The sequence below is a fragment of the Homo sapiens genome, chromosome 4, assembly GCF_000001405.40.
Source record: "Homo sapiens chromosome 4, GRCh38.p14 Primary Assembly".
Classification (NCBI taxonomy): domain Eukaryota; kingdom Metazoa; phylum Chordata; class Mammalia; order Primates; family Hominidae; genus Homo; species Homo sapiens.
Window position 1 is genome coordinate 169,938,798 of NC_000004.12, and position 26,528 is coordinate 169,965,325.

The following is a 26,528-nucleotide window of genomic DNA, read 5'->3' on the forward strand; positions in this document are numbered from 1 at the left end:
AAATGGCCGGGCGCGGTGGCTCACGCTGTAATCCCAACACTTTGGGAGGCTGAGGCGGGCGGATCACGAGGTCAGGAGATCGAGACCATCCTGGCTAAGATGGTGAAACCCCGTCTCTACTAAAAATACTAAAAAAAAAATTAGCTGGGCGTGGCGGCGGACGCCTGTAGTCTCAGCTACTCCAGTGGCTGAGGCAGGAGAATGGCGTGAACCCAGGAGGCGGAGCTTGCAGTGAGCAGAGATCGCGCCACTGCACTCCAGCCTGGGCGAAAGAGCGAGACTCCATCTCAAAAAAAAAAAAAAAAAAATTGTGGTAGGAAATTTCCAGACCTTTTTGAGTTTTTAAGGCTTTTGGATGTACAGTTGACCCTTGAACAATGCAGGAGTTAGGGGTACCAATATCCTTGCATTAGAAAATCCATATATAACTTCTTTTTTTTTTTTTTGAGACAGCGTTTTACTCTGTTGCCCAGGCTTCAGTGCAGTGGTGCAATTTTTGCTCACTGCAACCTCTACCTCCCAGGCTCAAGCCACCTCAGCCTCCCAAGTAGCTGGGACCACAGGCACGTGCTAACATGCCTGGTTAATTTTTGTATTTTTTTGTAGAGTTGGGGTTTCACCGTGTTCCCCAGGCTGGTCTTGAACTCCTGAGCTCAAGCAATCCATTTGCCTTGGCCTCCCAAAGTGCTAGGATTACAGGTGTGAGCCACCACATCTGGCCCATATATAACTTATGACTGCCCACTAACTATTAATAGCCTGCTGCTGACTGGAATCCTTACTGGTAACAATCGATCAACACATATTTTGCATGTTATATGCATCTTATGCTGTATTCTTACAAGAAAGTAAGCTAGAGAAAAGAAAATGTTATGAAGAAAAACACAAGGAAGATAAAATATATTAACTATTTATTAAGTGCAAGTGGCTGATGATAAAGATCTTCACCCTTGTCATCTTCACATTGAGTAGGCTGAGGAGGAGGAAGAGGAAGAGGAGGGGTTGGTTTTGTTCTCTCAGGGGTGGCAGAGGAGGAAGAAAATCCATGTATAAGTGAACACCCACAGCCAAACCTGTGTTGTTCAAGGGTTAACTGTATTTTCTTTTTATTATGTAATGGGGGCTATTTGCACACATCTACTAAGAAGCGCAAATAAAATGTATTTCTTTATTTTCTATAATGATATAATCTTCCTCATCCTCCCTCACTCGACTGAGTGGTGATGGACAGTGGAGGTGGGGGCACAGTCAAGCCTTTTAATCAGCCCCTCTGTATCTATAGGTTTTGATATGGTTTGGCTGTGTCACCACCCAAATCTCCTCTTGAATTGTAGTTCCCATAATCCCCATGCATCATGGGAGGGACCAGGTGGATATAATTGGATCATGGGGTGGTTTCCCCTGTCCTATTCTCCTGATAATGAGTTTGTTCTTCACAAGATCTGATGTTTTTATATGCAGCTTCCCTCTCTGCTGGTCACTCATTCTTCTCTCTCCTGCTGCCATATGAAAAAGGACCCGTTTCCTTCCCCTTCTGCCATGATTGTAAGTTTCCTGAGGCCTCCCCAGCCCTGCAGAACTGTGAGTCAATTAAACCTCTTTCCTTTGTAAATTACCCAGTCTCAGGCAGTTCTTTATAGTACCGTGAGAATGGACTAATACAGGTTTAAACAGTCATTTTAGGAAAATGTTCAATCTCCTTTTTCTTCCTCTCTGGATGTAGGGACCTGGGAGTGCGACATGGTGGCCTCAGGGGAAAAGGGCTCTCGTCTAGACCTTCTGACTGTCCTCTGGATCTTCCTGGTGTCCATGCGGGGCTGCTGCTCTGGGCTGGCCCCAGGGCCTTTGGCCAGTGTCCATGAGGTAAACGTGAGAAACTTCTTTCTGGTTGGCTCTTGGCTACAACAGCCCCTGGTGGTTTTCCCCTGCTAATGCGACCCCACAGGATCCTAGGAGTTCTAGAAATTGCTCTGAGTTTAGCTGCATTTCTGTCAAATCTCTGAGGCCTCTTTAGGAGGGACGTGTTTTTCTCCGGCCATGACTGCTCCCAGGCTGGGCCCGCTGCTCTCAGTGCAGTGGCCTTCCTCTCCATTCTGGGGTGAGAAAAAACTTTCCTTCATGTCACACAGGAGCTGGGGGCAACTTGGGACAGGTCCCCAAAACTCTCTGTGTCTAACCAGGTTCTCCTGTCCCTTTCCCTTTGCTGCAGCTGAAGCCGTCCCTACCAGGTTGACAAGAATTGCATGCAGGGTTCTGGACAGGAATATAATAAGTATTAATCAGGCCGCTCTTTGGCGCACTTCCTTTTTGCCGAAAATCATGTGGCACTAGATCCTGACCATTTGCATCCCCCATTGTTCTATAGATAGAATCTCTGACATTAGAATCATAAGGCTTTGGCTTAAGGATCACTTAAGATATTTTTCAGACCCGGAATTCCAGCAACCAGTTTGACAACTCCTACAGAGAAACAGGATCCACATAAGGATACAGCTTCTTCATATCCCTGTCCCATGACTTCACCCTGCGTTCTTCAACCAATCAATGTGTCAGGCCTCTGAGCCCAGGCCTGCACGTATACATCCAGATGGCATGAAGTAACTGAGGAATCACAAAAGAAGTGAAACTGGCCGGTTCCTGCCTTAACTGATGACATTACCTTGTGAAATTCCTTCTCCTGGCTCATCTGGGCTCAGAAGCTCCTCCACTGAGCACCTTGTGACCCCCCACCCCTGTCCGCCAGAGAGCAACCCCCTTTGACTGTAATTTTCCACTACCTACCCAAATCCTGTGAAATGGCCCCACCCCATCTCCCTTCACTGACTCTATTTTCGGACTCCGCCCGCCTGCACCCAGGTGAAATAAACAGCCTTGTTGCTCACACAAAGCCTGTTTGGTGGTCTCTCCACACGGACGCATGTGACACAATGATCCCCACACTTCACCCCACTCCAAATCCCCAAAAAGCCCTAGGCCCACACTCCTTGGGGAGATGAATGTGAGGTTTCCTCCCATCTCCTTGCTCAGCGAACCTGAGATTACACCTCTTTCTCTGCTGCAACCTGGAGTCTCAGAATATTGACTTACTGGGTACATCAGGCAACAAACCTGTTGTAGTTCTACAGTTGCCCATGTGGCCTGGAGCCAGCCCATACAGGAGACTTCCCCACATGGAGCCCTCTGTTTTTGGCTTTCCCCCTCCTTTTTTGTGATACTGTACACCCCTTCTGGATAGACACCAGAAAGGGAGCCGTCATCCCAAATGTGTCAAACCCTTATCTCCTGAAGTGGTGTAGGAAACACTGCCTCAAAATATGGCACCTTGGAAATTGAAAAAGCAGAAGCAGGAAGGCTATTTCACCTTTTTCTTTTTCTTTCTTTCTTTCTTTCTCTTTCTTTCTTTTTCTTTCTTTTTTTTTCTTTCAACAGGGTCTAGCTCTGTTGTCCAGGCTGGAGTACAATGGTGCAATTGTGGCTCATTGCAACCTCTGCCTCCCAGGCTCAAGGGATTCTCCTGCCTCAGCCTCCTGAGTAGCTGGGATTACAGGTGCCCACCACCACAAGTGGCTAATTTTTGTATTTTTAGTAGAGACATGGTTTCACCATGTTGACCAGGCTGGCCTTGAACTCCTGGCCTCAAATGATCCGCCCGCCTCGGCCTCCCAAAGTGCTGGGATTACAGGCGTGAGCCACTGCGCCCGGCCTACCTCACGTTCTTCTTGCCCTTCTTCTCTGAAGCAAGTCATAAAACCTAGGAAGTTCACTGTCCGACCTTGCCCTCCTCCCCTGAAAATCCTCACGTGACAGGTGTCCTGCCCTATGCCCAGAGGGAAGGAATGTCATGCACAAAGGCCAAGAGGAATGTGAACAAGCAGGCTTTGGTAAATGCCCACCCCCAAGTTCATTACCTCAAGATAATCCCTGTTCTCCAAGTATGCTTCTGCATGACTGTCCTTGAAAATCCACAGATGACTGTCCATGAAAATCCACAGATCTCCTGTTCCTTTGGGTCTTCATTTTCTGAAAGTTCCCGTGTCACATAATACCTATATTAAATAAATCCGTATGCACTCTCTTGTTAATCCGATTTTTGTTATTTGAGTCTTAGCCATGAGCCTAGCATTGAATGAGAAAAGATATTACTTTTTTCACCTATACTTTCCAGTCCCTGCCTCATCCTCTGGGGGCAGAAGGGGTGGGCCCACCATCTCTTACCTGACAGTCACTTCTCCTTCCCCATTTCCTCCTTCTCTGTCCTGACTTTCCTCTGGCCACAATGGCAGTTGAAAAGCAGGGAGAGAAAGTGCCTCAGAGGAAGGGAATATCTAGAAAGTTTAGATTCCTTACATTATTATTTTGTTGTTGTTTTTTAGATGGGGTTTTGCTCTCATTGCCCAGGCTGGAGTGCGGTGGTGCGATCTTGGCTCACTGCAACCTCCACCTCCTGGGTTCAAGCAATTCTGCTGCCTCAGCCTCCTGAGTGGCTGGGATTATAGGTGTGTGCCACCACGCCCAGCTAATTTTTGTCTTTCTAGTAGAGATGGGGTTTCACTTGTTGGCCAGGATGGTCACGAACTCCTGACCTGAGGTGATCCACCCGCCTCGGCCTCCCAAAGTGCAGGGATTACAGGAGTGAGCCACCGTGTCCAGCCAATTTCTTTAAAAAGATAAAGAAATAGAGGTGAGGTGATGACACCGCCCACCATACCCAGACCTCGCCCACATTGGTTCTGTTGTTTCCTTACACTAATTTTTGAACATTTAAGGATTTTAAAAGCTAATTTGTCCAGGGACACTTCTGCCTTACTTTCTTGCAAGTAAGCTCATTTCAAGATGCTAATAAGAAAGTATGTTTCTTCCCAGGAAGTCAGTCAAATTAAGGGAGGAGACCACCCCTCATATTGTCTTATGCCCAATTTCTGCCTCCAAAGAAAAAGTAAAAACTAAAAGGCGGAAATGAAATCCACAGGCAGACAGCCCGGGCCACACCCTGGGCCTGGTAGTTAAATATCAACCCCTGACCCTGACCTATTCGGTTATGTTATCTATAAATTACAGACATTGTATAGAAAAGCACTGTGAAAATGCCTGTCCTCTTCTGTTCCGTTCTAATTACCGGTGCATGCAGCCCCCAGTCATGTACCCCCTGCTTGCTCAATCAATCACGACCCTCTCACACAGACCCCCTTAGAGTTGTGAGCCCTTAAAAGGGACAGGAATTGCTCGCTCGGGGAGCTCGGTTGTTGGAGACGTGAGTCTTGCTGAAGCTCCCAGCCGAATAAAGCCCCTCCTTCTTTAACTCGGTGTCTGAGGGGTTTCGTCTGCGGCTTGTCCTGCTACAAAATGTGGAAAGTGGGACAATCACGCCCTTGTGAAACAACAATCGCAGCACTTCAGCCTTCCTGGGTATGGTCTTTGATCTTTCTGCTTGGCTGTGAGGGGAATAAAGTTGTAATGGCCGAGAGCTCAGAACTTAGACTTGTAAATGAGGAGCTTTCTGCTATGCATGGTAAGCAGGCAAGCAATTTGACCTTCGCTTGATGCTCAGAAGCCAAAACACATTCCAGACAATTCAAGAGTCAAGTGCAAAAAAATTAAAGTGTAAAACACTGGACAAATAGAATTAGATATTTGTATATTTATAACATCTGGAGCGGTAAAGACTTAGTAAACTTAGAAGTAGTAGAAGTCATAAAGAAAATAATGGGCCAATTTATCTGCATGAAATTAATTTTTAAATGAATTTACTTTATCCTAACTGGCTGTAAGTGAAATTGGTCACAGGCAAATTGGCTTTTAAATGAATTGGTTTGAGAGAAACTGGCCAGCACTTCCTCGGGAGTGGTTGTGGGAACAGAGCCAAGAAAGAAATATGTGAGGCCGGGCGCAGTGGCTCATGCCTGTAATCCCAGCACTTTGGGAGGCCAAGGTGGGTGGATCACCTGAGGTCAAGAGTTCGAGACCAGCCTGACCAACATGGAGAAACCGGTCTCTACTAAAAATACAAAATTAGCCGGGCGTGGTGGTGGGTGCCTGTAATCCCAACTACTTGGGAGGCTGAGGCAGGAGAATTGCCTGAACCCAGAAGGCGGAGGTTGCGGTGAGCCAAGATCGTGCCATTGCACTCCAGCCTGGGCAACAAGAGCGAAACTCCGTCTCAAAAAAAAAAAAAAAGATATAAAGAAAGAAATATGTGAATAAGACTAACTTTGTTAGAGGCAAAGACAGGATTGGTGACTGACTAGATACAGCAGGGAGGCAGGATGGAAAAGTCAAGAATGAATGGGAGGTTTATGAGCCCAGGTAGCTGGGAGGGTAGTGGAACCAATTAACCCAAGTAGGAAGCAAAGCCGGAGGAGCATCCTTGGTCCTCGGAGTTGATATCACTATAGGTCACTTGTTCTCTAACTTTTGCCTGCATCAGAATTACATGGAGAGTTTGTTAAAATGCATATTGCTGGGCGCATCCGTAGAGCTGCTGATTCAGTTGGTCTGGGTTGGGGCTTGAATTTGCATTTCTAAAGAGTTCTTAGGTGGTGCTGACGCTACTGACCCTGGACCTCACTTTGAGAATCATCATCTGGTTTAGGGGTGAAGGTGGTGGGGATAGTGTCCAGCAGAGAGTTATTATTGTGGGCCTGGAGCCCTGGAGAGAGATCAGGGCCAGATATAAGGATAATTGCTACCATTTCCTGTAAAGCTTCCCTTCGGTGTGCCAGTAATGAGCTGATGGGCCCAAATATTGATTATGCATTAGGGTGGGGGCTGGGCAGGGGCTGGAGAGCCCAAAGCCCCCAGACCAATTGTCTTTAGCCTGAGCAGCCACTTCCATTTATCCCAGAATGCATACTGGCATTATCATTTTTCTAATGGAAGCAGTAATATGGAAAACTAAAATGTTGAAAAGCACTGACTGAGCACTTACTCTGTGGCAGGCTGAAGTGATATTCCTATGAGCAAGATCCAATTATTATCCAGATTTAAGAGAAGAGAAAATGGAGGTTTAGAGAGGTTAAGCCACTCGTTCATTGTCACATGGCTAGTAATTGGCAGATCCAGGATTAAAACTCTGTCTGGCCCATTTCCAGACCTTGAGCTTCTAATCATTGTGCCTCTTAAAGGATTTGAACATTACCTGCATAGAGGTGATATTTAAAACAATGAGATTGGATGAGACTATCAAGCAAGAGGGCATACAGAGAAATGTCCAAGTACAGTACCTTGGGGAACATTTAATCTAGGGGATGAGGGGAAGAAATGGAGTCCCAGAGGATGTTACGGAAATGAAAGGAGAAGAAAGCATGAAGAAAGTAAAAGAATTTCATTAGTATCATATGCCTTGGAGCTGTCAAGAAAGAAAAACAAACAAAAAAGATTACTAAATTTTGAGACCAGGATTACTGTTCTTGAAAGGAACTGCTTCATCAGAGAGGTAAGGATGAAAAGTGAATGTTTAGTGACCTAGTGGTGCTTAGCAAACAACCCCAGAAATAGCAACTTAAAATAGTAGCGTCATTTGCCGGGCACAGTGGCTCACGCCTGTAATCCCAGCAGTTTGGGAGGCCAAGGTGGGAGGATCACAAGGTCAGGAGTTTGAGACCAGCCTGGCCAACATAGTGAAAACCCACCTCTACTAAAAATACAAAAATTAGCCTAGCATGGTGGCATGCGCCTGTAGTCCCAGCTACTCGGGAGGCTGGGGCAGGAGAATTGCTTGAACCTGGGAGGCGGAGGTTGTGGTGAGCCGAGATTGTGCCACTGAACTCCAGCCTGGGCGACAGAGCGAGACTCCATCTCAAAAAAAAAAGTAGTAGCATCATTTATTGTTTCTCACATTTCCAAGCATTGACTAGGCTCTAGGCTTAGCTGGGTGATCCTTCAGCTCCAAATGGTGTTGGCTGGGGCGCTGGGAGGCTGCAGTCATCTGGAGGCTTGATTGCACAGAAACATCCCAAATAGCTGATTCACCTGACTGGCTGTCAGTGCTGGCTGTTGGCTGAGAACCCAGCTGGGGCTGTTGGCCAGAGAGCCTCAGTTATCCCCTGCACACAGTTTATGCATGAGGTTGAGTTTCTCACAGCATGGTGGTGGGATTCCAGCAAGATCTGTTCCAAGTTCATAAAAGTCAAAGCAGTTGATCTCTATTTTTTTGAGACAGAGTCTCGCTCTATCGCCCAGGCTGGAGTGCAGTGGCGCGATCTCGGCTCACTGCAAACTCCGCCTCCCGGGTTCAAGCGATTCTCCTGCCTCAGCCTCCAGAGTAGCTGGGACTACAGGCACCCGCCACCGCGCCCGGCTAATTTTTTTTTGTATTTTTAGTAGAGACGAGGTTTCACCGTGTCAGCCAGGATGGTCTCGATCTCCTGACCTCGTGACCCACCCGCCTTGGCCTCCTAAAGTGCTGGGATTACAGGTGTGAACCACCTCGCCCGGCCATAAAGCAGTTGATCTCTTAAGTCTGTCTCTGATGTTACATAGTATTGTTTCAACCGCACTCTGTTAGTAAAAGGAAGCCACAAGGTCAACCCAGTGGAGGAGTAGACTCCACTTCTCAATGGGAGGAGCCAAAAATTTGAGTCTATTGAAAATTCATCACAGGATAGATGATAATAATGTGGATGTAGCTAATATAGATTCTTTTCCTTTCAGTAAATATTATATAGGCTGTATGCAGTGGCTCACACCTTTAATCCCAGCACTTTGGGAGGCCAAGGCAGGTGGATCACCTAAGGTCAGGAGTTCGAGACCAGCCTGGCCAACATGCTGAAACCCCATCTCTACTAAAAATACAAAAATTTAGCTGGGCATGGTGGCGTGCAGCTGTAGTCCCAGCCACTCTGGAGGCTGAGGCAGGAGAATCGCTTGAACCCGGGGGTGGAGGTTGCAGTGAGCTGAGATTGTGCCTCTGCACTCCAACCTGGGAGATTCTGTCGAAAAAAAGAAAAGAAAAGAAAAGAAATATTATAACAAAGGGAAAAAAAGAACAATGGATGTTGGAGAGCACAGTTTTGGGGAAAGATTGTTTTAGGTATACAGGTGAATTAGCTGCGTGTGGCTATATAACAGTATAGGTAACATCCCGTTACCTTTGCCATATTCTAATTGTTAGAAGCAAATCACAGGTCCTACCTGTGAGGGGACGTACATGGTCAGGAACACCAGGAGGCAGGAATTATGGGGCCATCTTAGAGTCTGCCTACCACAGAAGGCTGAAAGTTGATAATAGTCTGGAAGGCAATGGCGAGAGTAGAAAGAAAACCAATCTCAAGAGAGAGGTCGGGGACAATTGGTAGACAGGGGTTAAGGTTACCTGTAAGTTAGATTTGGAAAGGGGAACTTTTTTGTTTTCAACATATAGGAAAAGGGAGAGAATAGGAGAAGATGAGAGAAGTTTTGAAGTACAAAGAAGGGAAATTTCTAGGAAAGCTCACATCAATGAACCTCCATCTTCCCCATAAAGTAGGAGATGGGATTATTTGCTGAGTCTGAGAGTTAAGGAGGGATTCATGCTTTGAGGAAAATGGAAAATATTTGAAACAGATGCTATGGGAAATGCCATAGATGGTGATTAAAGTGAAAATAAGGAGAGAAAAGGATAATTAACAGCAGACAGAGTCAGCTTAAGTTGTTTCACATGAATCGTTTTAGAACTGCTGGCCAACAATTTTAGATATGGGCTGATGATGGGATTTAAGCTACGTAAGAAGGCAAATGAGGTCAAGAATAAGCAAACGTGGTAAGAACAGAGCTTAAAGAGAAGATTTCCATGAGGGCAGATTGTAGCCTCAATAAGGCTGAGGGAATAGTAAAGGGGATTTTAAAAATTCTTAATCTTACTTGAATTTCCAGCAAAATGTGTTACCCTGTCTTGTTGAAATGCTCTCCTCCTTGCTTCATAGCCTGTGCGCTTTGTGTTTTTCCTGCTTCTCTGGAATCTTGGTCTTGTTCTGCCTCTCTAGTTCCTCTGTTCATCCTCCAGCTAAAGGTGACCATCAGGGTTCTCCCCTAGGACTGCTTCAGGGTGATTTCCTCCACTCCCACGGATTTAATTACTCTCTAAAGGCTGCCAAATTGCCAAAGTTATGTTTCTAGTCCAGATTTCCTCATTAATTTCAGTCTATGCCCAGCTGTCTGCATGACCCACAGGCATTAAAGCTGGACATTTCAAAAAATAGAAAGCACTATTTCTCCCCACCACCCTCTCCCCTCTTCTTCCAGCAATTCTCTATCTCAGGGAAGGGCACCACCATCTACTTATTTGCTCAGCTGGGAAACTCCATGTCATCCTTGATGCCAACTTTCCCTCACCCCATCCCTATCTCTATACTACTCTACCACTTTCTTTCCCCTTCTCTATGGCCATTCTTCTACTCTCTCTTCCATCATACTTTGCCAGATCACTCTATCAGACTCTTACACTGCCTTGCTACTTCTAATACTGATTCCTACAACCTATTTTCCTCCCTGTAGCCAAAGGGATCTTGCAACCTGCAAATCTTATTATGTCAACACACCTCCCCACTCACCCTCTCACCCTGACACATGGACACACACCATTTAAAATCTGTCCTATTGCCCATAGGATAAGTAATAAAGAACAAGCATTTGCTGAGAACTTTACTTTGTGCCAGGCACTATAATTTACTTTTTATTTTTATTTTTTTTTGAAACAGAGTCTTGCTCTGTTGCCCAGGCTGGAGAGCAGTGGCATGATCTCAGCTCACTGCAACCTCTGCCTCCCGGGTTCAAGTGATTCTCCTGCCTCAGCCTCCTGAGTAGCTGCTGTTACAGGTGCATGCCACCAAGCCCGGCTAATTTTTGTATGTAATTTACATTTTAGAAGTACAAATCCATCAGCATGCTATTTCAGGATGCTCATTATCTGGTCCTAGTCTAACTCTTCAGCCTATCCTTATCTATTCCTTCCTTTTTACCTGGCTCCTTCCAAATCACCCTTGAAGAATCAGCTTAAGGTTATTATTGCTTCCGGGGAGCCTCCCCTATCCTAGGTTCAGCCTCTCTTAGGGAACATGAACCCATCACAGTCTACAGTATTAACCTTCTCATTTGTCTGTCTCCAACACAACTCTGTCTTATTAGTTTCTACACTTGCACTGTCTTTCACAGTGCCCAGTTCATAGTAGATGCTCAATAAATATTTGCCGAATGAATGAGTGAATCTTGAAGGTAAAACAATTCCACATATGGATAGAGTTCAAAGGAGTGGCTCTACCTGTGTGTGGCTCCACACCTCTCCCTAGCTTTTTCTATGTTGACAACCTTTTTTACATGTTTAAAAAATAGATGTCTAAGGCGGGGCACGGTGGCCCACACCTGTAATTCTAGCACTTTGGGAGGTTGAAGCAGGCAGATCACTTGAGCTCAGGAGTTCAAGATCAGCCTGAGCAACATGGTAAAACCCTGCCTCCACTGAAAATACAAAAATTAGCCAGGCATGGTGGTATGGGCCTGTAGTCCCAGCTACCTATGGGGCTGAAGCAGGAGCATCACTTGAACCCGGGAGGTTGAGGCTGCAGTAAGCCGAGATGGCACCACTGCACTCTAGCCTGGGTGACAAAAGTGAGACCCCGTCTCAAAATAAATAAATAAATAAAAATAATAAAATTAAATAAAAAAGAAAAAAGAAGTGTAATATTTAATTTTAAGTTACATTGTGAGGTTACATAATCCCCTACTGTTAACCACAAATCTTTAGCAGGGCCCACAATAGAACAGAAATTTAAAGGAATAGTGTTTGGGAGGAAATATATGTTCAACAGCCATATGCCCCACTTGGTGATTGGACCATGCAAGTCAAGGGTTAAATTCAACAAGCAAGGAATAAGACAGATTTTTTTGAGACGGAGTCTCGCCCTGTCACCCAGGCTGGAGTGAAATGGCGCAATGTCAGCTCACTGCAACCTCCACCTCCCAGGTTCAAGTGATTCTCCTGCCTCAGCCTCCCAAGTAGCTGGGATTTTTGTGTTTTTAGTAGAGACAGGGTTTCACCATGTTGCTCAGGCTGGTCTCAAACTCCTGACCTCGTGATCCGCCCGCCTCAGCCTCCCAAAATGCTGGGATTACAGGCATGAGCCACTGCACCTGGCCTGAGAGATTTAGAATTGAGGAGAAGAGAACATAGTAGCTAGAGGTGACTAGGCAAAAACATAAGCCCGTGAAGTCCCTGGACACACTGGGAAGGTCGGAGGATTTCCCATAATAAATGAGCTGGGGATTTGAACCAATTTTATTTGAATCTCAATGCACAAAGTGACCCCAGTAGATATGGAGTTAAGAAAGTCAAATGCATGTCTGTAATTATTTTTATCAGTATATTCTTCTTTTTAAAAACCCAGATATCAAGAATCAGTCCAGATCATTATATTCTTATCCAAGCCTTTCTGCATTGTTTTTAGCTACATGGAAGGGACGGGATGGGAGGATTAGCATAACATTTGGGTAAGGGCAATATATTTTTTAAAATAATCAAACAGAACTGTGGATGAGATAATTTTAAGTCTTTACAGAAGAGCTCAAAGGAAAGAATACCTTATCCTTGACAGAATGTAAAATTTGGTTCTGTAGAATGTAGAATGCATGGGTTTTTTTTTTTTTTTTTTTTTGAGATGGGGTCTCACTCTGTTGCCCAGGCTGAAGTACAGTGGCACAATCACAGCTCACTGCAGCCTCGACCTCCCTGGGCTCAGGTGATCCTTCCACCTCAGCCTCCCGAGTAGCTGGGACTACAGGTGCGTGCCACCATACCTACTAATTTTTCTATTTTTTGGTAGAGACGTGGTTTCGCCATATTGCCCAGGTTAATCTCAAACTCCTGGGCTCAAGTGATCCTCCTGCCTCAGCCTCCCCAAGTGCTTGGGATTACAGGCATGAGCCACCACACCTGGCCTGTTTTTTTTTTTTTTAATCAGTTAGTAATAAATATGTGCCTTTCCTCACTTCTCTACTTTCTAACTCCATTTCTGTTATTTTAGATGCAGTGTTCCTGGGCTCCCCCCCTCTTTTTTTTTTTTTTATTGAGACGAGTCTCGCTCTGTCGCCCAGGCTGGAGTGCCGTGGCGCGATCTCGGCTCACTGCAAGCTCCGCCTCCCGGGTTCATGCCATTCTCCTGCCTCAGCCTCCTGAGTAGCTGGGACTACAGGCGCCCGCCACCACGCCCGGCTAATTTTTTTGTATTTTTAGTAGAGACGGGGTTTCAGCGTGTTAACCAGGATGGTCTCGATCTCCTGATCTCGTGATCCGCCAGCCTCGGCCTCCCAAAGTGCTGGGATTACAGGTGTGAGCCACCGTGCCCGGCCTCCTGGGCACTTTTGACACTCACTGCGTGGGCTCACACCCCATTAGACTGAGATGGAAGGGAGGGTTTAGGAGGAGGTGTCCAGATCAGGGAAAGAAGACCTGTGTGACCCCGCCTGGAGGTCACAGCATAAGACATGAATGAATGAGAGCACTGGTTCTCAAAGTGAGGTCCTCAGGTAAGCAAATCCTCATCACCTGGGATGATGCTTGTGAGAAATGTGAATTTGGGGTCCCAACTCAGATCTACTAAGTTCAGGGTAAGGCACTGCAATCAGTGTTTTCACAAGCCCTTCAGGTGAGCCTGACACATATCAAAGTTTAAAAACCTCAGTGGGCTGGGTTTTTGCATGAGTACTTTAGTAACCACAGGCAATACATACTTAGATTATTTTTCTACTCTTTTCTGCCAAAATGATTTCTACTACTGAGATAGTCTTAGAAGTTACATTTTTAAAGTAATCATGAAGAAAAAACATATCTTGAGAACACTGAGAAAACATAACAGCCACTAACTAGGCTCTATGGTCAATGCAATTTGGTCAACGCCATTCCAGAGAGTACTCGAAACAGGGCAGGAGAGCCTCCTACCTCTTTGACTTCCCCATTCACCATCCCACGTCTCAAGTTTCTGTCATTATTTTTCTAGAAAAGCTATAAAAATCATCCCACTTCCTTTTTGCATTCACCACAATCACTCGCATGAACTTCAGTTCACTTTTTAATTTTATTTTTTGCTAGGCTTCCTGAAATCATGAGATCAGTTCACTTTTAAGTGTCTGGGTTTCTGCTGAGCTGCAGAGCAGCCTTTCTCCTAGCATTTCTGCCCTGCCATGTTTATCTTCCCTGTTGAGATTGGGTAAGAGGAGGTGGACAAAAAGTGGTGACAGTTACTTTCACTCTAAGGGAAACTAGGAGGCATGAGTTCAACAAATAGTAATCATGATCATTTTGCGTGCGATGCAATGTGAGAGGAAGGAATACAGATAAATACATAAGATGCGATATAAATGGTATGATAAGGGTGTGTATAAAATACAGAGAACATAGATAAGGAGCAATTGATGGAATGGTGGAGAAATGGATTAGGAGAGGTACAAAAAGGAAGTAACATTGGCACCGGTCCTTAAGGTCAAGTTCAATAGGTAGATGGACATGGGAAGGGGATGTCGGGTGAAGGGGACACCATGAGCACAGGCTTGCAGATAGGAAAGATGTTTGGGGCTTATTTCACCGTAGTTCAGTGTGGCTGGAATATAGGGGACAGAGCAAGAGCAGATGCAAAAGGAAGTGGCCCACACTCTAGGATCACCTGTGAGGGCCCCTTCCTGCACTCTTAAATATTTTGGCATACTCACCGTTTGGATGACCACATGGAGTACAGTTTCAGTTGAGCAGTGGGATCAGAATCAAAGTTTTATCTATTCTATCTATCTGTCTGTCTGTCTGTCTGTCTATCTATCCAACTATCTAATTTTTAAAGATAGGGTCTGGCTCTGTCACGCAGGCTTGAGTGCAGTGGTATGATCCTGGCTCATTGCAGCCTCAAACTCCTTGACTCAAGAGATCTTCCTGTCTCATCCTCCTGAGTATCTAGGATTACAAGTGCCTGCCAGCACACCTAGCTAATTTTTAAAAAGTTTTTTGTAAAGATGGGGCTCACCATGTTGCCCAGGCTGGTCTCAAACTCCTGGCCTCAAGTGGTCCTCTAGCCTTGGCCTCTTAAAGTCCTGGGATTAGAGGTGTGAGCTGCCATGGCTGGCCAAAATTTTGGTGTATAGATTAGGAGATGGACTGTAAAGAAGGGTGGTCATTTGAATAAATGATTCACAGGAGAAAACGGGTTTTACTGTAACAACCAAAGCCTACCAATATTGAGTTTCCTTATTCATTATGCATGTTATTAGGGTATTTTTAGCTCCAGCATTATGATTTTGCAAGTAAAATAAACTTGGGGTGAACGTTGATGCGGCCCTAAGTATCTTACTTCACTGAATTGGAATTCTACTCAGATTAGTCTTAGTAGATCTTTCTTTCTTCCCTGCTAATATCCGGGAAGCAAAGAAAAAGAGATTTCTTGAAGTATAACCTATTAGAACTTGCATAGAGGCATGGCGAGCAAAGGTTTTATAGAAATACCTGCAGATGTTTGGAGCTGTAAGAACACAGTGCTTGAGGATGCTGACCCTGTGGTGGGATATAACGTTGAGTGCCTTTTCCCAGACCCAATATCATTAAATCCTGCATAGACGGGGAACCCAGAAACCATCATCTCTCCATGCTCCAGAGCCCTGCAGAGACAACTGAGGTTTCTGGATGAGTTTATTTCTAAATACAATAGGGAAGAGGTTATTCACACAGAGATTGTCACCAATATGATTATAGGTCCCCAATTTTTTATTATACATGGCAATAGACCAGACACTCTGAAGATCTTATTATTTCCAACTTGATGTTTAGGATAGCATGGCAGATTGTATTTTCCAAAGATACCTACGGTAATATCTCCGAAACCATGTGGTCTTCTGCAATGGGACCTTGTCACGTCTCCCTTGAATGTGAGCAGGATCTGTGACTCCTTTAACAAACACAACATGGTGGAAATGATGCTGTGCCATCTGGCCTGGAAGCTTCCTGCCTCTTGGTTCCCTCTGACAAGCCAGTTGCCACTTTGGTGAGAGGCCCCAGTCACATTGAGAGGCTATGTGTGGTTGCCCTGGTCAACACCCAACTGCCAGCATCAACTGCCAGCTATGTAGCGAGCTCTCTTGGACATCTAGCCCAGTCAAAGCCTTGGGTGACTGTCACCCCAGCCAGCATCTGACGGCAACTTCAGAGAGAACCCAGATGAGAACTGCTCAGCTGAACCCCATCATCCAAAAAACTGTGAGAAATAGCAGTGAGTTGTTGTTTGAAGCCATGAAGTATTTTGAGCTGTAATCCATACACTATAAAATTTATCTTTTTCAGGTGTACAATATACAGAGCTATAACCATCACCATTCTCAGTTAAAGAACATTCTTGACCAGTCGCCGTGGCTCACGCCTGTAATTCCAACACTTTGGGAGGCCGAGGCGGGTGGATCACGAGGTCAAGAGATTAAGACCATTCTGGCCAACATGGTGAAACCCCGTCTCTACTAAAAATATAAATGTTAGCCGAGTGTGGTGGTGGGCACCTGTAGTCCCAGCTACTCGGCAAGATGAGACAGGAGAATCACTTGAACCTGGAAGGCAGAGGTGGCAGTGAGCTGAGATTGCACCACTGCACTCCAGCCTGGTGACAGAGCAAGACTCTGTCTCAAAAAAAAAAAAAAAAAAAGAACATTTTTATCACTTCCCAAAAATGAAACCCCCTGGCCAGCAGCAGTCACCCCCCACCTACCCACCCCCTAGTCTCTGGAAAGGACTAATCTACGATGCCCCTGAGGGTTTGCCTATTCTGGACACTTTACTGTTTGTTTTGTTTTGTTTTTGAGAAAGAGTCTTGCTCTGTCACCCAGGCTGGAGTGGAGTGTCATGATCTTGGCTCACTGCAACCTCTGCCTCCTGGGCTCAACTGATTCTCTTGCCTCAGCTTTCCAAGTAGCTGGGATTACAGACATGCCCCACCACACCCGGCTAATTTTTGTATTTTTAGTGCAGACATGGTCTCACCATGTTGGCGAAGCTGGTCTCAAACTCCCGACCTCAAGTGGTCTGCCTGCCTCAGCCTTCCAAAGTGCTGGGAACACAGGCGTGAGCTACTGCACCTGGCTGAATTCTTCTTATGTCACAGCCTACAGACAGGTTAATGACCAGTTTCTTCTTGGCCCACCACCATCCATCGTGTGGTCTCCCAGGCACCTTCTCATCCCAGAAAAATCCCATCTCCCACTTATATGGTTCACATATAAATTCCTCCACCAATCCTAATCTGAGTCTTTGATTTCAGTTCTGGGTAAATTTCATGTGTACTTTAATCTCGGCCCCTTTACATGGCTTGTTGATTTATGCGGCTTCTTGAAATGCTGTTTACAAAGTTAGACCCTTGAAAAGTGGCATAATTGGTTTGCATGTGAAAACTAAATCAAGATTCACCTCAAACCCAACAAAATAAATGAAGACAGAATGAAGCTTTTGCCTGGCATTTAGCAGGGCTGGCACAGATTTTTCCTCTATAGCACATGGAAGAGCAAGTGAACAGCATTCCCTGAAGTCTCACCAGGAGCTCTAAGCTCCAGAGTGAAGCCAAATCAGGCTGCTAACCCGACGGAGAAAACTTGGTGTGAATATACATATATATGTCACATATCTGTGTGAGCATATAATATGTATCTATATATAGTCAGCTAAAGCTGGCAATGAAAACAAAAACTCTACTTTCTTGGCTTACTCAAACTGCATAAAAATAGTGTTTAACAATCAAGGAAGAATGTGCAAGCCACTGCTGGTTAAAGGATGTGTGGCTATCCCATGAAAGAACCTATTAAGAATCCTACAGGCTTACTGCTGGCTTGGTTTGGAAGCCAGAGGCCAGCTCTCTGTCATGTTCTGTGCTAATTCAACAGGAATGACTTCAAGGAGGGTTTTATGTTCAGGCATGATTTATGTGGCAGGGAAGAATAAAGGGATTCCTGTAAGCTAGCCCAAGTTAGGGGATCTCTTTGAGTGATTAGTCCAATAAATACGTAGATGCTGGTGAGGCTGGGGTGAGGAGTCTGGGGAGAACAAATGCACACAAAATGCGTGTGCACACTCACGTGACGTGTGTTAAATGTATATGCAGATATACAAGCACTGCCAGCCATTGTATGGGTTTTTGAGAATCCATGGAGTTTGAGGCACTGGATAAAAATTTCTAGTGATTATAAGTTTAAATTACAATTTTAAAATTTAAAAATTTTTTTAAATCTATTTTTTATTTTTTTGAGACAAAGTCTGGCTCTATCGCCCAGGCCAGAGTGCAGTGGCACGATCTCAGCTCACTGCAACCTCTGCCTCCTGGGCTCAAGCGATCTTTCCCCCTTAGCCTCTAGAGAAGCTGGGACCACAGGCGTGTACCACCACACCCACCTAATTTTTGTATTTTTTTTGGTAGAGACAGGGTTTCACCATGTTGCCCACCCTAGTCTTGAACTCCTGAGCTCTAGCCATCCACCTGCCTTGGCCTCCCAACATGCTGAGATTACAGGAGGAAGCCACTGTGCCCGGCAATGTAAGTTATATTATAATTTTAAAATAACTTCATCTAATATTATTTGACATCTATATATTCAAATATAGACAAACATATATGACAAACATATTTATTTGACAAACATATATGAAGCATCTGTCATGTGCCAGGCACCATGGTTGGCAGTAGGTATACAAAGATGAATAAAGCAGACTTCCTGCCTTTGGGGAGCTTGCAATCCATTGAGCAGGACAAATAAAATTATTCTGCAATGTAATCAAGGGCTATAATGTTGGCATAAACCAAGTCTTTTTTTTTTTTTTTTTGATACAGGGTCTTGCTCCGTTGCTGAGGCTGCAGTGCAGTGGCATGATCTCAGCTCACTGTAACCTCTGTCTCTGGGTTCAAGTGATTCTTGTGCCTCAGCCTCCCAAGTAGCTGGAATTACAGGCGTAAGCCACTGTGCTCGGCCTAAACAAAGTCTTTTGGAATCATAGAAAATTGTTCCAGTTACTTTCACTGTGTAACATATTAGCCCAAGACTAACTGGCATAAAGCAATTATTTTATTATTCTCCTAGACTTGGTGGGTTAGGAATTTGGAGAGGGCACAGAAGAGACAGAGAAGAGATGACTTTTTTCTGTTTCATGATGTCTGGGACCCCAACTGGGAAGACACAATGAGCAGAACTGCTGAGTGGAGTGTGTGCACATGACTCCCCACAGAGCCAGGCTTCCTCACAGCATGGCAGCCTCAGGCTCCAAATGCGTGTATCCCAGCAAATAAGGCGAAAGCCACATCACTTCTTATGACTCAGCCTCATAAAACACTAGGATCACTTTTGCAATACTCTATTGCGTGAAGCAGCCTCAAGCCCACCCAGGTGCAAGGGGAAGGGGCATAGAATCTAACTTTCAATGGGGTGACTGTAAAATAAGTTTGTGGCCATTTAAAAAACTGCTATGAAAAGACAGTGCCTTAGTAATTTGGGGAATCGGGAAGTCTTCACTGAAGAGGTGATGTTTGGGATGCATCTTGAAAGAGGGACAAAAGTTTGCCAGGAGAAGTGGGGTGAAAAGAGAAATGATTCTTCATAGGGAATGGCACCTTTTAGGCTTACATGTACACAGGAAATACTGAAATACAAGAAGGAGTACAAGGGGATAACTAGGAAGTGGATCAAGCATCAAAGGAAAACCAGTCTCATAGCTCCCAGACACCTTGAATACATCAGCATGTTTGAACTGCTAACTCAACTCAATAATTGTCCATTGATTCTTAAGCCATATATAGGGTTTGGGAAAGAACCAAACCATAGTTATTTATTTGGAAAAGAACTGTGGAGCAGATAGGTTAAAGTTGGAATTTAAAGTGGAAGGACTACTTTCTCTTTAACAAACACATAATACCTATTCTTCAGGTATCATACTAAGGACATGACAATTTCAACTCACTTAATCCTCATCACAGCCCTAAAAGGTAGCTATTGTTATTCTCTCTCAATTACGGATTAAAAACTTGAATCCCAAAGAGGTTAAGTAACTTGCCCAAGGGCACGCAGTGGATCAGTGGCACACCCAGGATTCAAATGCAGGTTGTCAGGCTCAGCCTGCGCACCTCGCCACTGTGCCAGGTCACCCTCAGACAACTAGAGAGAACAGTGGCTGAAATTAAAGGCAACATGGGGAGCTTGACTTTGATCCGTATGACAATTGAGAGCCATTTAGGGCGTCTGAAATGGCAGTACGTGTAATGTAAATTGTGTTAACCTAACTAGTTATTGGCTGAGCCAGACAGGAAAACAAGTCTCTAGCTTTTTAGTTCAACATTCTTCACTATTCTATAACGCTGTGCTTGGAGATAGTATTTTATGGTTCAGTGCCACTACTGAGACTCTTCTTAAATGATGAATTAAGAGGCTGGACTCTTGAAGAAGCAAGCAAGGGAGGTAACTCACGCTCTGCCATTTTATCTGCAGGGTACTTCCGAGGTGAGGCCAAATTAGTTGACTTATCCACGTAGTTGTTTTAAGGCTAATCTAGGACAATGCAAAACATACCTCTGTAGTTTGACTCTCAGTGATGAAGCACAGTATGTAATTAGAAGCAGTTTCATTTGTCCATCCATTCAGTACTGTTTTTTTTACTGCCATGGGCTGTGACTGACCTAATATTTTGCTGCATGGTATAGTGCCTTTTATATATACATGCTGACGTCAGGCAGGACAGCATTAATGGAGGCAATATGTCTAAATGAAAACACCATTACATTATCAAAGTGAAAAATGGCTAGATCAGCAAATGGAGTATTAGGGATGGAAGCTGAGAAAAAGAATATTAACCTTGCATTCAATTTTAGTCTCATATCTGTGACTTCCTTGTGTAGTTATTATAGAACCTTAAGATACATGATGGTTGAAGGACAGTTGGGGGCACACTATAATAGCTACCTCATAAAAATGGTAGGAGCAATTGGCAGCTTAATTTTGGGGTTTGTGGAAGTAATTTTAAATGGAATTTGTGTTAATCATTTTCCATAAATTTAGACATTTCACTTTGTGATGACTTTACACTTTCACTAAGATACAGTAGAAAGTGATGGGAATAATGGAAACAATGAAAACCATGACGTCAAGCCCTGGTCTCAGAAATGTCCACCAAGCAGACGTGGAAACAGACGAATGCATTAATTTTTGATCATCTTGAACATTGAAGGTGGTTTAAAAGAGCAAAACAATAGTTCTAGAATTTGTATATAGGGTATATAAAGACATAACACGGGAGAAAAATCAAGCTGATTTTGGCAGAGGTGTGCAATCACTTGGGCCAGAACAAAGTCCTGAGCACTTAATCTTATAAACGATCTCTGGTGAGCTTTAGTGGACATACGAGATAAATAGATAGAGATAGAGATAGAGATAGAGATAGAGATAGAGATAGAGATAGAGATAGAGATAGAGATAGAGATAGATAGAGATGAGATATAGGTAGACATTGGTGAGTTTTCTAAAAAGCGGGTAATCATTAAGTAAACAACTCTTAAAATTATACTTCCAGCTGAGCACAGTGGCTCATGCCTGTAATCTCAGCACTTTGGGAGGCTGAGGCCAGCAGATCGTTTGAGGTCAGGAATATGAGGCCAGCATGGCCAACATGGTGAAACCCTGTCTCTACTAAAAATACAAAAATTAGCCACGCGTGGTGGGAGGCGCCTGTAATCCCAGCTACTCAGGAGGCTGAGGCAGGAGAATCGCTTGAACCCAGGAGGTAGAGGTTACAGTGAAGACAGTTGGCACCACTGCACTCCAACCTGGGTGACGGAGCGAGACTTTGTCTCAAAAAAAAATGTTTCCTGCATGTATGTATGTATGTCACACAAACTTCTTTTTCTCCAATAAAATGATGCACATGCCCCCTACGTTGACTCTCCATCTGCCTCCAGCTGGCAGCAGGAATGGAGAAATCAAAGTAACCAATACTGGTTTGTCAATCAGACCAATGACCAGCGCAGGGGCCTCCTTTTTTTCTTTCTTAAGCCTGTGTGTGTGTGTGGGGTGTGTGTGTGGGGGGGGTGTGTGTGTCTTTGCGGACGTGCAGAGTAAAACAGAGCAGACAATATGCATCTGTATGCTACATGCCTTCTCTACAGACTTCACACACACTGTCCTTATCTCTTGGATAAGTTAATGAGACTGTTCACTGATTTCTAAGTTATAATTTCAAAGAGGCAGTGGTGGGAAAATTGATCTACAAGTATTTTTTTTTTAATTATACTTTAAGTTTTAGGGTACATGTGCACATTGTGCAGGTTAGTTACATATGTATACATGTGCCATGCTGGTGCACTGCACCCACTAACTCGTCATCTAGCATTAGGTATATCTCCCAGTGCTATCCCTCCCCCCTCCCCCCACCCCACCACAGTCCCCAGAGTGTGATATTCCCCTTCCTGTGTCCATGTGATCTCATTGTTCAATTCCCACCTATGAGTGAGAATATGCGGTGTTTGGTTTTTTGTTCTTGCGATAGTTTACTGAGAATGATGATTTCCAATTTCATCCATGTCCCTACAAAGGACATGAACTCATCATTTTTTATGGCTGCATAGTATTCCATGGTGTATATGTGGGCAACAAAAGACAAAATTGACAAATGGGATCTAATTAAATTAAAGAGCTTCTGCACAGCAAAAGAAACTACCATCAGAGTGAACAGGCAACCTACAAAATGGGAGAAAATTTTCGCAACCTACTCATCTGACAAAGGGCTAATATCCAGAATCTACAATGAACTCAAACAAATTTACAAGAAAAAAAACAAACAACCCCATCAAAAAGTGGGCATTGGGAGGCCGAGACGGGCGGATCACGAGGTCAGGAGATCGAGACCATCCTGGCTAACACGGTGAAACCCCGTCTCTACTAAAAATACAAAAATTAGCCGGGCATGGTGGCGCGCGCCTGTAGTCCCAGCTACACGGGAGGCTGAGGCAGGAGAATGGCGTGAACCCGGGAGGCGGAGCTTGCAGTGAGTCGAGATCGCGCCACTGCACTCCAGCCTGGGCGACAGAGCGAAACTCCGTCTCAAAAAAAAAAAAAAAAAAAGTGGGCAAAGGACATGAATAGACGCTTCTCAAAAGAAGACATTTATGCAGCCAAAAAACACATGAAAAAATGCTCATCATCACTGGCCATCAGAAAAATGATCTACAAGTATTAAAGGGCTTTGGGTGTTGGGGCATTAGGGTGACACAAATACATTACATATTCTCCTCTAGACTAGAATCTTTTAAGTACTTATTTGGGTCTATTACAGACACTCATTTCTCTTTAGAAATCTATCTATCCTGCTGACAAAGCTAGTGGAATATCAAAAGTTCTACTTGGATGGGCCCAAAACATACATAAAGAGGAATATTAAGCATTCCTTTTTATTTGTAAGTTATGCTAATAACCAATGGTTGAAGAAAGGCGTGTCATATGGCCAGTGCATTTAAATTATCGCTATTTCCCAGTGTTTACTCTCCAAGTTTTTGATACACATTAAACCTTGGCTACTACATGGTCATTCCATGCTAGATTATACGTTGGATGTTTGGAAAAACGTTATTATTCAATAGGTTGAGTTTCGGGAAGGAGTTTGTTTTACCTTCCAGAGCGAATTGCTTATAAGAAAAAGAGGCTATTTTTGGATTCTTTTTTATTCTATTAATGTCAGCGCTATTGAAACTCTTTGATTTTTTTACCCTGTTGCTTAGAAACATTTTATTAAATGTTGTCAGTGCTTCTATCTGATCTGATTTAAAATGTTACTTTTATCTGCCACTGTAGAATGAGCTCTAAGTTATTAATAGGTATTAAAAATATTTTATTGACAGGAGAATGATATATCAGATTAAGCCAGTATCTCTGGCTTATCTATTTTAAGGGCATTGGGTGGGGTTTGATTTGGTGAGGTTTGTGATGGGCAAAAACAGGAATGATAGGATATTTCTAACATTCTTGGCCTCTCACTCTTAGAACCTAAGGGTAGATAGATTGGGAGGGATAAGGGCTCAAATCTCCTTTCTCAAATTAGCTCCAATCACCTGTCCTGAGTCCAATTGCCCATCACCATCTGCCTGAAATTCCACCATCAGAGACATTACTTTGATCTTGCTTAATAAGTTATCAGATTCAGAGTTAACTGGAGATTTGCTGAACAGCTGGATAAGCATGAGACCCAGAAGAAATGGGGTACAGGATAGGGAGTTGCTGAAAATAGAGGGATTAGGAATCGGGGGGTGGGTGGGAATAAAAGGAAAATGAAAAACTGACAAAGCCAAGGATAACCCATTTCACCTCCTCCTCTCCCTGCTGTCCGCAGGTCTGGTCCTCAGGCTGTGAGTGATGTGCCTTAGGGGCAGGAGGAAAGTCAAGTCCTCCTGGGCCTTGGATGACTCCCTTGCAAGAATACATTCTGTGAGTTGAGACCAGAAGCAGCAACCAGAATAACTAGATGATTACTCTTCTCTTCATGTGGTCAAAGTATTTATAGTATTTGCTTAATAAAACTCATGAAATCTCTGAGATTGACTCAATTGTATGATTTTCGCTGGCACTCTTGCGTGTGCACACACACACATACATTTTAAATTTGGCCTGATTTTCACAAAGACCTACTTCATAACAAAGGGCTAATTGGGCCACTAATTCATGTTAAACCTGAACTGGGGAAACACTAAATGCTGTTTTAAAAGTACCACCCAACTCATACCCTCTAAATAACGAAGGACTTTTTGTTATTATAGCTATTCTTCAAATTAATACAGTTATATTACATCCACTAATAGAAATGATTTTAGGTGGCTTAGGATAGTTACAATAGGCCATGAAGATTGTATCAAACCAAGTGAAATAAAACTTCCCAAGTGGTCACTCCAATTCCACACACACACTTCATATTTATGTAGCGATCCCCTTGTGCTCCCTGTTAGATAAAGGGCATCATTATCACTATCAACTTGACTATTCTGATTCTAACATTTTATGTAATATGAAATTCTCACCACTGCAGAATCTCTTATTCTGCTGGGTGATTGGCTTTAACGTTAAAGCTCTAAAATAACAGACAGTAGTAGTTATTACAATACCAGTGTTTTTTATAATAGAAAGCATGTTCATGTAACATACACGGTAGGTCAGGTTTCCTTAAAGTCTCAAGTTTCACACAGAAACTGACAATGCTTAGGAAAGGAAACTGCATTTAGGAGAGGATTTCCAACTAGAAGCTGCTAATAGAGGCACTAACTAGGCAGGAAGTATTCAAATTGGTTATAATTTAATTATGTCAATATCCCTTCTAAAAACAAATAGGTCTTAGCCATGATTCAGGCAGCAAAAACTAATAATAACTTGGTGAGGAATTACTATTTTTGCCCACATGTATCTGGGTAGTTGAAGCAATCTGATTGTATGATTTGGCACGAGTCCAGTCTATGGTCTAAAATAGCTACATGGGAAAATATTGGAAGTGTATTTTAGCCTCTGAAAGATTTAAACCTGGTGAATCAGTATGTTTCTCCCCTGATATTTGATGTTCATATGTCACTGGAAAGCAAACACACAAAGACACAAACAAATGAAGCAGGTTTCCCAGCATTTTATATTAACGACCACCATCAAGTTTGACGTTTTATACCTCTAATATTCTGGGGAGCTCATGATGTTTGATGGTTGTATTTGCTCACTGATCCTTAAGACAGATATTCTTGAGACGTATGAGGTAATGGCAAGATGCTATTTCCAGACAAAAGATGGGCCATCTAAGTGGGAAGCTATTCACAAATAATAAATCTGTAGATAGGTGAGATTTAAACACCTAAGTCTCCCTGTAAAATGTTGCTTTTTTTTTGTTGAGACAGAGTCTGGCTCTGTCACCCAGGCTAGAAAGCAGTGGTGCGCTCTCGACTCACTGCAAGCTCTGCTTCCTGGGCTCAAGCGATCCCCCCAGCTCAGCCTCCTGAGTAGCTGGGACCACAGGTGCATGCCACCACACCTGACTAATTTTTGTATTTTTTTGTAGAGACAGGGTTTCCCCATGTTGCCTAGGCTAGCCTCAAACTCCTGAGCTCAAGCAATCTGCTTGCCTCGGCCTCCCAAAATGCTGGGATTACAGGTGTGAGCCACCATGTCTGGCCAAATGTTGTTTTGTGTATGGAAAACTCTTAAATTTTAGATTTCATGAATAGTCAAAATAGGCAGCAGCATCTACTCTTAGTTTCCTTTTTTTCCCCTGTTGTTTGAACTGAGTTGCCCATGTGTGTACCCTTAGACTTAGCAGTCTGAAAAATTATCCTTTGACAGCTCTAGTAAGGCTTATGTAGTCTGACATACTGAAGATGGATGGAGGTTTCAAATTTGGAGGGACTTCTAGAATTTCTTTTTCTCTCCAACAGTAACTGAAACAGTCAAAATGCTGGATCAGAGAAAAGGGACAACACACACACACACACACACCTCACACTTTTCATAGACCCAAGGTTCTATGGTTACAGAAACCATGAACCGATTTCAGG

General features: G+C 43.9%; 2 long non-coding RNA genes across 2 annotated transcripts in view; one reads left to right on the forward strand and one right to left on the reverse strand.

The window, feature by feature from the left end:
* LOC105377530 (uncharacterized) overlaps positions 1–2,887 on the forward strand; it is a 28,967-nt gene extending 26,080 nt beyond the window's left edge. The window contains exons 2-4 of the long non-coding RNA XR_939439.3: positions 1,462–1,545; positions 1,724–1,863; positions 2,429–2,887. This is a non-coding gene — a long non-coding RNA (uncharacterized LOC105377530). The remainder of the gene's footprint in view (positions 1–1,461; positions 1,546–1,723; positions 1,864–2,428) is intronic.
* The window catches only part of LINC02275 (long intergenic non-protein coding RNA 2275), a 58,142-nt gene that overhangs the window by 21,037 nt on the left and 10,577 nt on the right, over positions 1–26,528 (reverse strand). Inside the window, exon 2 of the long non-coding RNA NR_037878.1 lies at positions 3,909–4,046. This is a non-coding gene — a long non-coding RNA (long intergenic non-protein coding RNA 2275). The remainder of the gene's footprint in view (positions 1–3,908; positions 4,047–26,528) is intronic.